This window comes from Homo sapiens, chromosome 2 (genome assembly GCF_000001405.40).
Source record: "Homo sapiens chromosome 2, GRCh38.p14 Primary Assembly".
NCBI classification, from domain to species: domain Eukaryota; kingdom Metazoa; phylum Chordata; class Mammalia; order Primates; family Hominidae; genus Homo; species Homo sapiens.
The window spans coordinates 195,185,812-195,202,283 of record NC_000002.12 but is presented as its reverse complement, the minus strand read 5'-3'; the positions used below and the strand labels follow the sequence as shown (position 1 = coordinate 195,202,283).

The following is a 16,472-nucleotide window of genomic DNA, read 5'->3' as shown; positions in this document are numbered from 1 at the left end:
CTTGTGGAATTTGTGCCTTCAGTTTCCAGGTCATTATTATCTTAAAATTTTTATAAACATTGGAAAGTTGCCTTTAAGTGTCCTTTAGTAGCTTCTTCTCCTTTGCTTGTTCTTTTAGATTATTGTATTCACCAGAGTTCAATTCTTTGACTCTCTTTTTTTCTCACTCTAACATGACCTCTGGGTATTTCAGGCTTCCATGCCTTTAATTGCCATCAAAATGCAGAGATAGACAATTGTAATTTCATTAACTTCAGCTTTATCTTTTTTTTTAATCACCATGCCAACCTGTATGTCCTCAAGCTACTTTAAAATTAATATGTTGAAAATAATTTGTTTCTCCTCTTAAAGTAAGTTTCTATTCTGATATTTTCTATTTTAGTGGAAGTATCACAATCCCCCTCCATCTTTTAATCTGGAAATCTAGAGAAAATGCTAGCCTGTTTTGCTCTCTCTTTTCCTCCTTCCTTTCCTAACCCAAATTATCAATAATAAGTCTTTAAATTCTAGTAATTTTAACTCTGAAAAAATTATTGAAACTAGTTCTTCTCATCTTTCCTGACAGTGCCTTTGAAGCCATCATCATATCTCCTTTGCACACTTAAAATAGCCATCTTATCTGATTTCACTGCATCTAATCACCCTCATTTAAACCATTCTTCACTCTGTCTCCTAAATTATCATCACTCCTTTATCAGAATAATTCTCTTTAATGCCCACAAAATTAGGCCCAAATTTCTTAACTTGCCTGAGAAAGCCTTTTACAATATAGTCCCAACCCATTTTTCAGTCTCTTCTTCCATTAACCTCTATGTGCAACTTTATTCTAGCCGTGCCCACTTCTTCATCTTTGCTCAAGTGCTTCATTCTGTTGTTGAGACTATTGTGTTCCCTCTTTGTCTTACAAATGATCTTCCTCCTTCAAAACCCAACTTAAATATTGGTTTCTTCATGTTGCATTCTTCAGTTCCTCAGTGGTGCCTAAACACAAGATATTAATTTTGAAAATTAAATAAAAATTTAAATATCTTTTTTGGAGAAAATGAGAGTATATGGTTAGACATATCTTTAATTTTCCTGCAGATATCTAGAAGATATGCCTTCTCTTTGGCCTATTTGATGTGTCTTAGCCCAATGTAAGGCCATTTTTTTGCACTCTATCTAAACACAAATTTCAATAACTTATTATTTATTATGATTCTATAGGTTGGCTGCACTGGGCTCAGGTGACTTTGGCTAGGCTTACTCATCATCTGTGGTCACCTGGGGTTGGGTGATGATAGGTTGATTTACATGAATCTGCTGGAAAAAATGGTTCTGCTCCGAGTGGCATCTCATCCTCCAGAACGCGAACCTGAGTTTGATCTCATGGTAGACGTAGGAATCCCAAGACAGAGTGGAGGAGCACAAAGGCATTTGTAGCCTAAGTGTGAAACTGGCACTCTGTCACTTTCTTGCATTTTAGTGTGAGAAACAAGCCACAAAGCCAGCCCAGATTCAAAGGAGCACTGAAGCAGGCTCTAGGCCATGATGGGAGAAACGGCAAAGGAACATTGCAAGGAAAGAGTGAAAAATTTGCAGTCAATCCATCATAAATGAGAAGGAATATTTTAAACATAGTATACTAGTCACACAATGAGCTGTAATTATTGCATCCTTTTGAAGTGAATGAGTATATGGTGAACGATGCAAAAAGGGGAGTAGGAAAATATGGTGTTCTGTAATATTACACTATGCTATGCTATGCATATTGTAATTCTGGACTATCCCTCAGATTTTAGACATCATAAAATTATGAAGTAATAATCCTTTTGACATACGGTGTAAATTACAAGGAATAAAGTTTAATCTTAATAGTAAATTGTAAAAATTTGAAGAGATTAAAAACATATTAAATAAAGACTAGTTTTAGGAGAATAAAAATTATACTAAAATGCATCTTCAATATGATAAAAGATAATTGAAAACAAAAATATCATACTTTGAGAAAGTCAAGGAAAGGAACCTTGGAATACCTTCAAAAATATTATAGATAGAGCTACTAAATAATTTTGAGAACTCTTCTCCTGCAGATAGTGAAAATTGCTTGCAAGATGACTAGCTGCAGTTGATATTGTCAATTTGTTCATAGCATGGCTTCCAAGTACTGAGCACCTGAATCTTGTGCTCAGCTGACAGAGAGGCATGCTTCAGTGAAGTGGCATTGGAATACAAATAAATTGGATACCACTTAGAGACCTGAAATGCTACTGTGAGATGAAAGGCAAATCCCACTGAAAGTGACAGCAATATTTTCTTTTCTGGCTAGGGAAAATATATAGGAAGAAGATGAGAGACCTTTTTAATAGAATAAAGAAAAATGATAGTGCTCCTATACCTCAAGCTGCATGGTTCTGAATTTGATTCAGTAAATGCCTCAAAATAGAAGTACATTAAACTTCAAGGCAATCAGAGCACAACTACTGGATTGTCACAATGTGGTAAAAGAAGAGGTATCCAAAGCTGGCAAAGACACCTATAGGACCTATGATGCATCAGAACTTTTAGAGCCATTTGACAGCCTCTATGAAGATGCATATTGAATTAAACATGTTGCCATCCTCATTCAGTACTTTTTGTGTGTTTCAAAATATACCTAATGATAGATTTCTTCTTTTCTTAATAAACTTTAAACTAATTGATCCCAAGACACTGACTTCATATCAAACTTAGTAATCCTGACATTTTACACACGCAAGCCACAGCCTGCTAAATAGTCTCATAGAAATGCACACTTCATTTTGAAACTAATCAAGCATGTCTTGCTCATTTCTCAAGACATGGTGGCATATCAAATCTCTAAGGTTTAGCCATTAAGCTTTTGAGATAGAAGAGTCTCAAGTAGTTGGCGGGGATGGCATATTAGCTACAGTAGAATAAATTTCATTTGAATTTTGTGTGTGTGTGTAATTATAATTTTAATAATCAAATTCTTTTATAGTTATTTTTATACATCCATTATCTTATTTGACATGAAACACATATATATATATTTATTGTTACCTATAGACATAAAGGCTTATATTATATACATTTTATATAAATATTCTGACATTTTTACATGAAAATATACTATTTCTATATCTGTCTCTGTGTATTTGTATCAAAAAATGTTAAAAATTTGTCTGACTAGCTTCCTAATATTGAAAAAACCTTCCAAAACCTTCTTATGAATATTTTATAGATTATGTTTAAATAACACCAGCATGCAGTAACATACCATAGTGCAGCCATAACTAGTCAAATTCTACAATTGCCAATGATGGTATTTGTTTTTCTACTCCTAAGTTTTAAGCACTTCAGCTTTATGTGTACACATGAATGTGTTGGCTGAGTCCATGACTCAGTGTATGAAATGTGTTTTTTATGAATTTTAGGAACATTTGAAATTACAAACACGGTCAGGGGTAGTGGCTCATGCCTGTAATCCCAGCACATTGGGAAGCCGAGGCAGGCAGATCACTTGAGCTCAGGAGTTTGAGACCAGCTTGGGCGACATGGTGAAACCCCATCTCTACCAAAAAAAAAAACCCCCCAAAAACAAAAAAAAAACCCAAACAAATAAACCAAAAAACAAACAAACAGAAACAAAAAACAGGCATTGGGGCATACACCTGTGTTCCCAGCTGCTCTGGAGGCTGAGGGGAGAGGATCACTTGAGCCCAGGAGTCAGAGGTTGCAGTGAGCTGAGATTGTGCCACTGCACTCCAGCTTGGGTGACGGAGTGAGATCCCGTCTCAAAAAAAAAAAAAAAATTACAAACATATCTCTACCTATTAATGGCCAAATGAAGACAGAATATTTATTATAAACAATAATTAGATTGGTACAAAAATATAAAGGCAAATAGTTAATTGATTATATAATTGAATCATTGCTTCTGTAGGACATGGATTTCTGGAAGTGTCTCAAATCCTTGTTTTGTTTTAGGAGTTAACTGAAGGTGGGATTGGGGAGGTGATTCCTAGACTTCTCAGATCAAAACACCTAGGCCAACAACCAGACACTTTAATCCATCTACATATGAGATCAAATACCATATTACATTCCTTAGCTGTTTTTATGCTTGGGACCACAAAAATCAGTATTTCCTCTTTTAAATATTACAAAGCACTTTACTCACATTACTTTTTTTACTTCATTTCATTCTTTATTATAACATGTTATGAAGAAAAAGATTTGTAAAGCATCAAAATCTTTGTAATGAGATGGTCACTGAATAGTGATTTGACCTTGGTAATTTTGTGTTCCTGAGTTTCATTATTTGTAAAATGAGACCAGACTAGGCATCAGTGAAACTTGCATGGTGTGAAGATTCTTTGATTATATTAGGATTTCCAGTGGGGAATAACACATTTAAAAATCTAGTATAAAGTTTATGGAATAGAGACATGTAATGTGGAACACCTCACTCTCTTTACCTGTTTGTCTCTCTGTCTTTGTCTCCACACACACAAACACACACACATGCACACACACACACACACACCACACATTCATATACACACAAACACATTGCAGAGGGAAATACATATTGATATATGGAAGAAAATAACACTTTTTAAATACAAAGGTGGATTTTTAACGTAGCTCATCCTGACTACTAAGTGTTAACTTAAAAAAACAGATAAAAATGATAAATTAATTGTAGGTTCCATGTAGTTCTATCCTGTTTAATCCATCCTATCACATTTTATTCCTATTTGGAGAAATACACATGAGGAAGGTAATATTATTTTTGACATTTTGCACACTTGAGAAGCATAAAGTAAACACAGATTGTAGCATAACACTTCCATTGTCCCATTCTCTCCCTACTCTTTTCTATGTCTTTTTTTTTTTTTGGTACTCATCTCATTTGCCTTTTTTTTTTCATTTTAGACTTTTTTTCCCAGCGCCCTGCTTCCCCTCATCTTACTCATTAAGTTTCTTTTTGTTGATATTTTGGGGTAAGGTGAGAAGAAAGATTCAAGAGAAAAGGGGATAGATGGAATGTCAACTTCAGAATGGGAGTTGAGAAAGCCATTGACTACTGCCTCCTTTAAGACAGAGATAGTACAAATGAGACAGCAAATGCTTCTCTTAAGTCAATGGGCTGTAACATGAAGATTTGCATCTTCGAGATTGTGCTGCAATAATGCTATGCTAGAAAAATCACCTATGTTGGAAATGACAGCTGCTAAATTCCACCAGAGTAAAACACTAATGTTGCCTTGCAAAGATTTCCAGATTACCAAGACTTGATAGTCATGGCAAATCGAATCATTTCTTCCCTCTGTGCTTTTGACAACTAGCTGGTTGATAATGGTATTATCGTGGTCCAACCTTATAATACCCTATTGGTCCTTACAATAATTAGGGTCAACCTCAGACCAGTGAAATTAGAACCCCCAGGTGGCCTGGCTAGTTTTTAAGTTCCACAAATTATTCTATTTTGCAAGTAGATTAAAGAACCACTGAAATTCAAGTATAAGTAGAGGGAAAAGAGTCTTATCCTAAATCTTCCTCAAATGCTCAGAAGAACTAACAACATTTTGGTACTCTACAGCATACTCTTAGAAATTAAAGGATGGCTATTTTGACAGCATTGCATTCTGCTAGCTAGAATCCCCTTTCTTCCAGCAGTTAATTTGTCTAGATAAATTGCAGCTTTCTATACCTAGGAATGTTGGATTTTCCAACCACATAAGAAAGTACCTGACCTAGCGTGCTTACCAAAGGGCAGAAGGAGACTCAGAAGAGCAAAAGAGAGGCCACATGAGCCAACACAATTTTTATATGGAGTTTCTGTTTCTGGGTAATTTGGTGTAATGGGTGATGTTTCTTCTCAACTCTTTCAACAGATCAGTAACTTCTCCCAAGGAGTAAAGCTGATGAGTGGAGTGCAGAGAGAAGGATGAAGTGTTTCTTGAATACTGTACGCTCCTGGCATTTCACATAGAAGTCTTTCATATAATAATAAGATGAAAAAAATAAGGGGCTGCAATTTAGTTACTGGCGTTGGATCCCTACTGCAAATGACAATGTTATGTGTCAATAAAATTGAATCTTAATGTCACATTCAGGATCATAGGTTAAACCAGTGATTTTAACTAGATGACAACATTTTTCCGATTTTGTATAAGAAATCTAAATTTGTACACAATATTTTTTTCTAATTGCAGGATTTCTTTTTTAAAATTATAGATTCAGGGGGTGCCTGTGTAGGTTTGTTACGTGGATATGTTGCTAATGGTGAGGTTTGGGCTTCTAGTGTAACCATCACCAGATAGTGAACATTGTATCTAATAGGTCATTTGGAGTCTATACTATTATTTACATTTTAATGTTTATGGGTTCCCATTGTTTAGCTCCCACTCATGAGTAAAAACTTAATATTTGATGTTCTGTTTTTGAGTTATTTCACTGAGGATAATGGTCTCAGGCTCCATCCATGTTGCTGCAAAGGACATTATTTTATTCTTTCTATGGCTGAGTAGTATTCTGTGGTGCAAATATACCGCATTTTCTTTATCCATTCAACAGTTGATGGACACTTTGGTTGATTCCAGGAATCTGCTGTTGTGAATAATTCTGCAATAAACATACGAATGCATGTGTCATTTTAATATAATGATTTCTTTTCCTTTGGGTACATATAGTGGGATTGCTAGATCAAATGATAATTCTATTTTTAGCTCTTTGAGAAATCTCCATACCGCTTTTCACAGAGACCGTACTAATTTACATCCTCACCAACACTTTACAAACATTCCCTTTTATCCATATCCTCATCAAAACCTGTTTTTTTTTTCACTTTTTAGTAACAGCACTTCTGACTGGTGTAAGGTGGTATCTCATTGTAATTTTAATTTGCATTTCTCTGATGGTTAGTGATGTTGAGCTTCTTTTTTCATATATTTGTTGGCTGCTTGTATGTCTTCTTTTGAAAAATGTCTGTTAATGTTGTTTGCACATTTTTTAATGTGGACATTTACTTCTTCTTGTTGAGTTGTTTAAGTTCCTTGTAGATTCTGGATACTAGTCCTTTGCCAGATGCATAGCTTCCAAATATTTGCTACCATTCTGTGAGTTGTCTATTTATACTATTATTTCTTTTGCTATGCAGAAGCTTTTGAGTTTAATTAAGTCCCATTTGTCTATTTTTGTTTTTGTTTAGTTTGATTTTGGTGTCTTATGTTATTTGCCTAGGCCAATGTCCAAAAGAGTATTTCTTAGGTTTTGTTTTTCTTTTCATTTCTTTTCTTGTTTCCTTTTCCTTTCCTTTTCTTCTCGTTTCGTTTTGTTTCATTTCTCTCCTTCCTTCCTTCCTTTCTTTCTTTTCTTTTTTCTTTTCCTTTATCTTTCTCTATCTCCTTCCTTCCTTCTGTTCTTCCTTCCTTCCTTCCTTCTTTTCTTTCTTTCTTTCTTTCTTTTTTTCTTTCTTTCCTTTCTTTCTCTTTCTTTTTTTTTTGACACGTTCTTGCTTTGTCACACAGGCTGGAGTGCAGTGGTGCAATCTCGGCTCACTGCAACCTCTGCCTCCTGGGTTCAAGCGATTCTGGTGCCTCAGCCTCCCGAGTAGCTGAGATCACAGATGTGTGCAACAATACCCAGCTAATTTTTATATTTTTAGTACAGACAGGGTTTTGCAATGTTGGCAATATTATACCTAGAAAATCCTAAAGACTCCTCCAAAAGTTGGCTGGTTTCGAACTCCTGACCTCAAGTGATCCACCTGCCTGGGCCTCCCAAAGTGCTGGGATTACAGGCATAAGCCAACATGCCTGGCCCTCCTGAGTTTTCTTCTGGAATTTTTTTAGTTTCAGGTCTTACAAGTGTTTAATCCATCTTGAGTTAATTTTTGTGTATGGTGAGAGATAGGGGTCCAGTTTCATTCTTCTTCATGTGGCAATCCAATTTTCCCAGCACCATTTATTTAATAGAGAACCCTTTCCCCACTGTGTTTATTTTTGTTGACTTTGGCAAAGATAAGTTGGCTGTAGCTATGTGGCTTTATTTCTGGGTTCTCTATTCTGTTACATTGATCTGTGCTTCTATTTTTGTACCAGTATCATGTTGTTTTGGTTACTATAGCCTTGTAATATAATTTGAAGTCAGGTAGAGTGATGCCTCCAGATTTGTTCTTTTTGCTTAGGATTGCTTTGGCTCTGTGGGCTCTTTTTTGGTTACATATAAATATTAAGAATGTTTTTTTCTAATTCTGTGAAAAATGACATTGGTAATTTGACAGAGGTGAATTGAATCTGTAAATTTTTTAGGCAGTTCGGCCATTTTAATGATATCGATTCTTCTGATCCGTGAGCATGGTACGTTTCTTCCATTTTCTTGTGTCATCTATGAATTCTTTCACCAGTGTTTTGTAGTAGAGATCTTTTACCTCCTTGGTTAAATGCATTACTAGGAATTTGTGTGTGTGTGTGTGTGTGTGTGTGTGTGTGTGTGTGTGTGTGTATGGCTATTCGAAGAGGATTGAGTTCTTGATTTGGTTCTCAGCTTGAATGTTATTAGTGTATAGAAATGCTACTGATTTTGGTATGTTGATTTTGTATTCTGAAACATTACTGAAGTCATCTATCAAGTCTAGGAGTCTTTTGGGGGAGTCTTTAGGATTTTCTAGGTATAACATCATGTCATCAGTGAACAGAGATAATTTGGCTTCCTCTTTTCCAATTTGGATGCCTTTTATTTCTTTCTCTTGCCAAATTCCTCTGTCTAGGACTGCTAGTATTGTGTTGAATAGGAGTGGTGAGAGTGGGTGTCCTTGTTCCAGTTGTTAGAGGGAATGCTTTAAAGTTTTCCCTATTCAGTGTGATGTTGGCTGTGGGTTTGTTATATATGACTAGTTATTTTTAGCTATGTTTCTTCAATGCATATTTTGTTGAGGGTTTTTATCATGAAAGGATGTTGCATTTTATCAAATGCTTCTTCTGCATCTTTGAGATAATCATATGGTTTTGCTTTTAATTCTGTTTATGTGGTGAATCATATTTATTGATTTGGATGTGTTCCACCATCCATGCATCCCTGGAATAAACCAATAAAACCCACTCGATCATAATGTATATTATTATTATTTTTTTTTAGGGGAGTCTCACTCTGTTGCCCAGGCTGGAGTGCAGTGGTGTGACCTCGCCTCACTGCAACCTCTGCCTCCCAGGTTCAAGTAATTCTCCTGTCTCAGCCTCCTAAGTACCTGGGGTTTTAGGTGCTTGCCATCATGCCTGACTAATTTTTGTATTTTTAGCGGAGACAGGGTTTCACCATGTTGGCCAGGCTGGTCTCAAGCTCCTGACCTCAAGTGATCTGCCCACCTTGGCCTTCCAAAGTGCTGGGATTATAGGTGTGAGCCACCATGCCGGGCCATGTATTATCGTTTTGATGTACTGTTGGATTTGGTTTGCTAGTATTTTGCTGAGGATTTTTGCATCTATGTCATCAAGCATACTGGCCTGTAGTTTTCTTTTGTTGTTATGTTCTTGCCTGATTTTGGTATCAAGGTGATACTGGTTTTATAAAATGAGTTAGGGAGAAATCTCTCTTTCTCAATTTTTTAAAGATAGTTTCAGCAAGATTCATACAAATTCTTCTTTGTATATCTGGTAAAATTTGGCTGTGAATCCATTTGGTACTGGATTTTTTTTTGTTGTTGAGAGATTTTAAATTAGTGATTTAATTTTATTACTCATTATTGGTCTATTCAGAATTTCCATTTCTGACTGGCTCAATTTGGGAGCTTGTATTTTCCAGGAATTTATCCATTTCCTCTGTTTTTCTAGTTTGCATGCGTAAATACGCTCATAGTAGTCCCTCATAATCTTTCGTATTTCTGTGGTATCAGTTGCAATGTCTCCTTTATCCTTTTTTATTGTGCTTTGTGCTTGTTTGAATATCTTCTTTCTCTGTTTTTTTTTTTTTTTGTTTAATCTAGCTAGCATTTTATCAATTTTATTAATTTATAAATTTTATCAATTTACCCTTGAAAGAAGCAACTTTTGTTGATTTTTTTAAATCTTTTTGTTTGGTGTCAATGTCCTTTTGTTTAGCTCTGATCTTCGTCATTTCTTTTCTTCTAGCTTTGGGTTTAGTTTGTTCTTGTATTTCTAGTTCCTTGAGATGCAACGTTAGGTTGTTAATTTAAGATCTTTCTATCTTTTGGATATAGGCATTTGACATTATCAAGTTTCTTCTTAGCACTACTTTTGCTGTATCCTAGAGGTTTTGGCATGTTTTGTCTCTCTCTCTCTCTCTCTGTATATATATGTATATTTTATTATACTTTAAGTTCCAGGGTACATGTGCACAATGTGCAGGTTAGTTACATATGTATACATGTGCCATGTTGGTGTGCTGCACTCGTTAACTCGTCATTTAACATTAGGTATATCTCCTAATGCTATCCCTCCCCTCTACCCCCACCCCACAACAGGCCCCAGTGTGTGATGTTCCCCTTCCTGTGTCCAAGTGTTCTTGTTGTTCACTTCTCACCTATGAGTGAGAACATGCGGTGTTTGGTTTTTTGTCCTTGCGACAGTTTGCTGAGAATGATGGTTTCCAGCTTCAACCATGTCCCTACAAAGGACATGAACTCATCATTTTTATGGCTGCATAGTATTCCATGGTGTATATGTGCCACATTTTCTTAATCCAGTCTATCATTGTTGGACATTTGGGTTGGTTCCAAGTCTTTGCTATTGTGAATAGTGCTGCAGTAAACATATGTGTGCATGTGTCTTTATAGCAGCATGATTTATAATCCTTTGGGTATATACCCAGTAATGGGATGGCTGGGTCAAATGGTATTTCTAGTTCTAGATTCCTGAGGAATTGCCACACTGACTTCCACAATGGTTGAACTAGTTTACAGTCCCACCAACAGTGTAAAAAGTGTTCCTATTTCTCCACATCCTCTCCAGCACCTGTTGTTTCCTGACTTTTTAATGATCGCCATTTTAACTGGTGTGAGATGGTATCTCATTGTGGTTTTGATTTGCATTTCTCTGATGGCCAGTGATGATGAACATTTTTTCATGTGTCTGTTGGCTGCATAAATGTCTTCTTTTGAGAAGTGTCTGTTCATATCCTTCACCCACTTGTTGATGGGGTTGTTTGTTTTTTTCTTGTAAATTTGTTCAAGTTCTTTGTAGATTCTGGATATTAGCCCTTTGTCAGATGAGTAGGTTGCAAAAATTTTCTCCCATTCTGTAGGTTGCCTGTTCACTCTGATGGTAGTTTCTTTTGCTGTGCAGAAGCTCTTTAGTTTAATTAGATCCCATTTGTCAATTTCGGCTTGTGTTGCCATTGCTTTTGGTGTTTTAGACATGAAGTCCTTGCCCATGCCTATGTCCTGAATGGTATTGCCTAGGTTTTCTTCTAGGGTTTTTATGGTTTTAGGTCTAACATTTAAGTCTTTAATCCATCTTGAATTAATTTTTGTATAAGGTATAAAGAAGGGATCCAGTTTCAGCTTTCTACATATGGCTAGCCAGTTTTCCCAGCACCATTTGTTGAATAGAGAACCCTTTCCCCATTTCTTGTTTTTGTCAGGTTTGTCAAAGATCAGATGGTTGTAGATGTGTGGTATTATTTCTGAGGGCTCTGTTCTGTTCCATTGGTCTATGTCTCTGTTTTGGTACCAGTACCATGTTGTTTTGGTTACTGTAGCCTTGTAGTATAGTTTGAAGTCAGGTAGCATGATGCCTCCAGCTTTGTTCTTTTCGCTTATGATTGACTTGGGAATGCGGGCTCTTTTTTGGTTCCATATGAACTTTAAAGTAGTTTTTTCCAATTCTGTGAAGAAAGTCATTGGTAGCTTGATGGGGATGGCACTGAATCTATAAATTACCTTGGGCAGTATGACCGTTTTTACGACACTGATTCTTCCTATCCATGAGCATAGAATATTCTTCCATTTGTTTGTCTCCTCTTTTATTTCGTTGAGCAGTGGTTTGTAGTTCTCCTTGAAGAGGTCCTTCAAATCCCTTGCAAGTTGGATTCCTAGGCATTTTATTCTCTTTGAAGCAATTGTGAATGGGAGTTCACTCATGATTTTATTCATTTCAAAAAACGTTTTGATTTCTACCTTAATTTCATTGTTTAGCCAAAGATCATTCAGAAAACGTTAGTTAGTTTCCATGTCTTTGTGTAGTTTTGAGATTTTCCTTTGGTATCAATTTCTAATTTTATTCAACTCTGGTCTGAGAAGATACTTGATATGACTTTGATTTTTAAAAAATTTATTGAGACTTGCTTTATAACCAAGGATATGGTCTATTTTGGATAATATTACATGCACAGATAAGAAAAATGTATATTCTTCAGTTGTTTGGTAGTATGTTCTGTAATGTCTTCTAGGTCCATTTGGTTGAGGCCAGTTGTAGTCTTTTTTCAGCTTAGCAAGTGTATCTGCAATGCTTGGCTTTTGGCCCCCTTTCTCTATTTTTAAAGCCATCAACAGTGAGTTGAGTCCTCCTTACGTTATATCTGCCTTCATCTTTCACTTTTAAGAATTCTTACCATTATACAGGGCCCACCTAGTTAATCCAGGCTGATCTCTCTATGTTAAGGTCAGCTGATTAGCAATCTTAATTCCACCTGTAACGTTAATTCCCCTTTGTCATGTAACCTATTTTATTTACAGGTTCCAGGCATTAGGATGTGGAAATCTTTTGTGGGGTGGCATTATTCTATCTACCATCACCCCCACAACAGGGACATACACACACACACACACACACAGACAAAACATACATATATACACACATATGTGAAAAAAGATTCTAAAGCTGAGTATCCTAATATTAATAGTAGGGGACTGAATTATGCTGATTATATTTTCTTCATATTTCTACTATCCAGATTTTCCTATAATAAATACAACTAGAAATATTTAATAAATGCTATTTTTAATGTAAGTTTCTAAATTATATTTGTTACTCATCTACTGGATACTACTGAGACAAATATCATTCACTGAGGTTTATAACTTGGGCACTTAGAAAGCAATTTATTTTAAAAGTTGATGGTGCGCTGAGTGAATATCCCATGCTCAGAGGCTTAGGAATGAGGCCAACCAGGAGAGAAGATCTAGCCTTCTCAGCCATTGATTTCTGCACAATCAATTGACTCAGATCATGCAGCTAATCCAATTCAGTAGTTAAGAAAATTGAAAAGACCAGCTGTGTGGTTTCTAGGCCCAGTATTTTTTTTTTAAATAAGAGACTCTGAAAGCAATATTATCTTTGTTAGCCTGTTTGGAGATTCAGAAAGATGAAAAATAAAAAAGCAAAAAGTGTTTTCCCCCTCTGCTCAAAGTAATATTTTCTGGAGGCAGTAATAAAATATATATCGCTAATTGTCATGGGAACGCCATATAAACAGAAAAAAGCCAAATTAATATTGTAATTTGTGAGCCATACTAGATTAAACTTCTATGGATATTTAGCAGAAGGAAAGTAAATTTAAGTAAAAATAGGGCAATCTCAGTTTGTTCAAGTATTTAAAATAACTTTTCATATCTGAAATGAAATAATTCTGTTTGCCCTTAAATAAGAACAAATATTAACAAGTCACATGTTGAGTGCCAGTAAGTGCTATGGTAATGAATTAGGTCTGTATGTCACTCGTAATTATGATTTAATGAATAAGTACATTCAAATATATTGCAATACAGAAAAAAATTAAACGACCACTTGTTCTGTTATTCTTGTAAAACATAGAAAATGGCTCAATTAGGTTCTGTGCTACAGAATGCATACCAACCACTATTAGAATTTTAACTAGTTTCCTCTTTGTGAAATTAATCCTTTTTAAACCATAAAATGAGACCTTTACTTCTCCCTACATTCTTATTAATTGCACAGTACTTCACAGGCTCTTGTTGAATTGAAGAAAAAAAATTAGTCAAGAAAAGGTCACTTCTTTTTTTGCCGGTTGCATGTTAATGAGTCAGGAACACAAGGTGCAGCTTGTGAGGTGAATTGGACTGTGGTAGGTAAGAAATGATAAAAACATATATGGAATGAGGAACATAGCAAGAACATGAGGTCCCATTATCACAGCTAGGAAGGTTTAGCTCCCCCTTGAACTTTTGTCTCTCTCCTCTGATGTGTGGTAATTTGTGGTTCCGAAACACCTGCCCTTCACTTTCTGAAAATATCTTATTTTATTGAATGTATTAAGATTATTTGACATGAGCTTTCTAAATTATCCATTCTTTCACCTGAAAACTTTCCATGTATGGTCTCCCAGTCCCTCTTGCTGATGAGGTGGGAAGGCCAATTTGCTTTTCTAAGACTAATTCTTCCACCTGGATTATATTCCTCAAATGGCCTTAAGGACTTCAGTTCACCAAATACACTTTATCGTTAGTATGACCATAGAACATATCATTTAAACCACGACACTTTAGAGCTACACTGTTCAATATAACAGCCAGTAGCTACATGTGGCTAATTAAATTTAAATTGAAGTTGAATACAATTAATTGAGCCGCATTAGTCACATTTTGAAGGCTCAATAGCCACGTTGACTAGTAGCTACCATATTGGGTAGCCTGGATAGAGAACATTTTTATCACCACAGAAAATTCAGTTGGATAATGCCATGATGGAGAGTGAAACTGGCCACTATTAATAATAATGCTAGGATAACAGGTATTCACTGGTACTGTCACAAGTAATGAGGACATATGCTTACCCTACTTATATTCAACTTTTCTCTCTAATGCCTCCTTTTTTTTTCTGCAGATGTGAAAATTGTTCCTATATAAAAACATAATGAACATAAGGGTGACCACCAGCTGTCACACACTGATATTGATTCTGTTTGTGACACTAAATGCTTAGCTAATTAAATAAAAATAAAACAGCCAACCTATTTTTTTTTTAATGTTTTTTTTTTTATTATACTCTAAGTTTTAGGGTACATGTGCACATTGTGCAGGCTAGTTACATAAGTATACATGTGCCATGCTGGTGCGCTGCACCCACTAACGTGTCATCTAGCATTAGGTATATCTCCCAATGCTATCCCTCCCCCCTCCCCCGACCCCACCACAGTCCCCCGAGTGTGATATTCCCCTTGCTGTGTCCATGTGATCTCATTGTTCAATTCCCACCTATGAGTGAGAATATGCGCAGCCAACCTATTTTTTAAGCTGTTGGTCAACAAAGCAATTATTTGCATCAGTTTGCTTTTACTTTACAACTGGTTGCTGGTTGCTGTAGGACACTGTATCTAGTAGCAGTTGCCATTAATTGAGTGTCTTTGATGTTCCTTACATAGTGAAAAATGCTTCATATTTATTATAATTATATCAGCTAATTCCCATAATAACCACTCAGTGGAGGCCTTAGGGTCAGTAATTGAGTTCTGAGGAGTCAGTCAGGATGTAGAATCCTATCTGAGGTTGCGTGAAATGAGTGGGAAAATGGAAGGCATCTGCGCAAGACAAAGATGAAAGATGAAAGATGAGGAATGGCAGGACATTTTAGAAGCTGGAGGAACTCATTGCTGAAACTAATTCCAAATAGGAGGAGCTATATCTTTAAATGAATAACAGATGAAATCAACAGTCTGGTAGAGGATGGGCATGGACTGAAGCAGGAAAAGCAGGAGAAACCACGGACAATTGCTATGAACTCTATTTCATACCTCTGGTTTGCTTTAATGGGTCAGTAAGCATGAGGCTTGTGACTGTGTCCAACTGGCATAAAAACATAACATGGAGGTATGAAGATAACACCTTACTGCTTGTAAGCATCACCAGTGCATTTTAACTCCTTGAATATTACTAAGCCTGAATTGAACCCAAGTTTCCATCCCTTTCTTGATATTGTAGTTTTGACTTCTTAGTTCACTCTACTTCAGGCTGGCCAAACTCTTTTGCAGCTACAATTTTGCATATATACATGATGCTGCAATTTCCTCCAATGAATCAAAGCAAGATTTTTGAATCTAATTCTTATTTTTTACTTTCTAAGTAATATCTCTGTCATATGTAGGAAGTAATAAGACATTCAGAATAATAAGATATTCAAAGAGTGTGATTTATAAGCAAATGAAAACTAAAATGTGAAAAACTGCATCAAAACCATACAATTGCATTTTCAGAAAGTATCTTGCTTGGAAAACTCAAAAAGTATATATGGCATACCTGGTCATGAAGAAGTGTTTAAATGTTGAGTCCTGGGTCAGGCTTAAAATATAAGATAAAAGCAACAACTTTAGATTATTTTCTTCCTCTGAAGAAAAAAAATGTGATCTCAAAGTTTAAAATAATGGGCTAAACATGTGAAAATGCTCTACTATGAATCATTTGGTACTGTAAAATGTAAATGTTTATAATTAAAGAAACTGTTGCAATATCATTTCTATTACAAAACATGACAGATGTCTAAAGTTTGGTTTTCTTAAAAATGGCAAGAAATTGA

At 35.7% G+C, this 16,472-nt stretch overlaps 1 long non-coding RNA gene across 3 annotated transcripts in view; it reads left to right on the top strand.

Annotated features, from left to right (window-relative positions):
- LOC105376755 (uncharacterized) overlaps positions 1-16,472 on the top strand; it is a 673,333-nt gene that overhangs the window by 197,221 nt on the left and 459,640 nt on the right. For 2 of the 3 annotated variants that reach the window (XR_001739835.1, XR_001739834.1), the window contains exon 3: positions 2,309-2,583. The exons of the other annotated variant lie outside the window; for it this stretch is intronic. This is a non-coding gene — a long non-coding RNA (uncharacterized LOC105376755). Of the gene's footprint in view, positions 1-2,308; positions 2,584-16,472 lie in introns of those variants that run through there. 3 annotated transcript variants of the gene reach the window in all.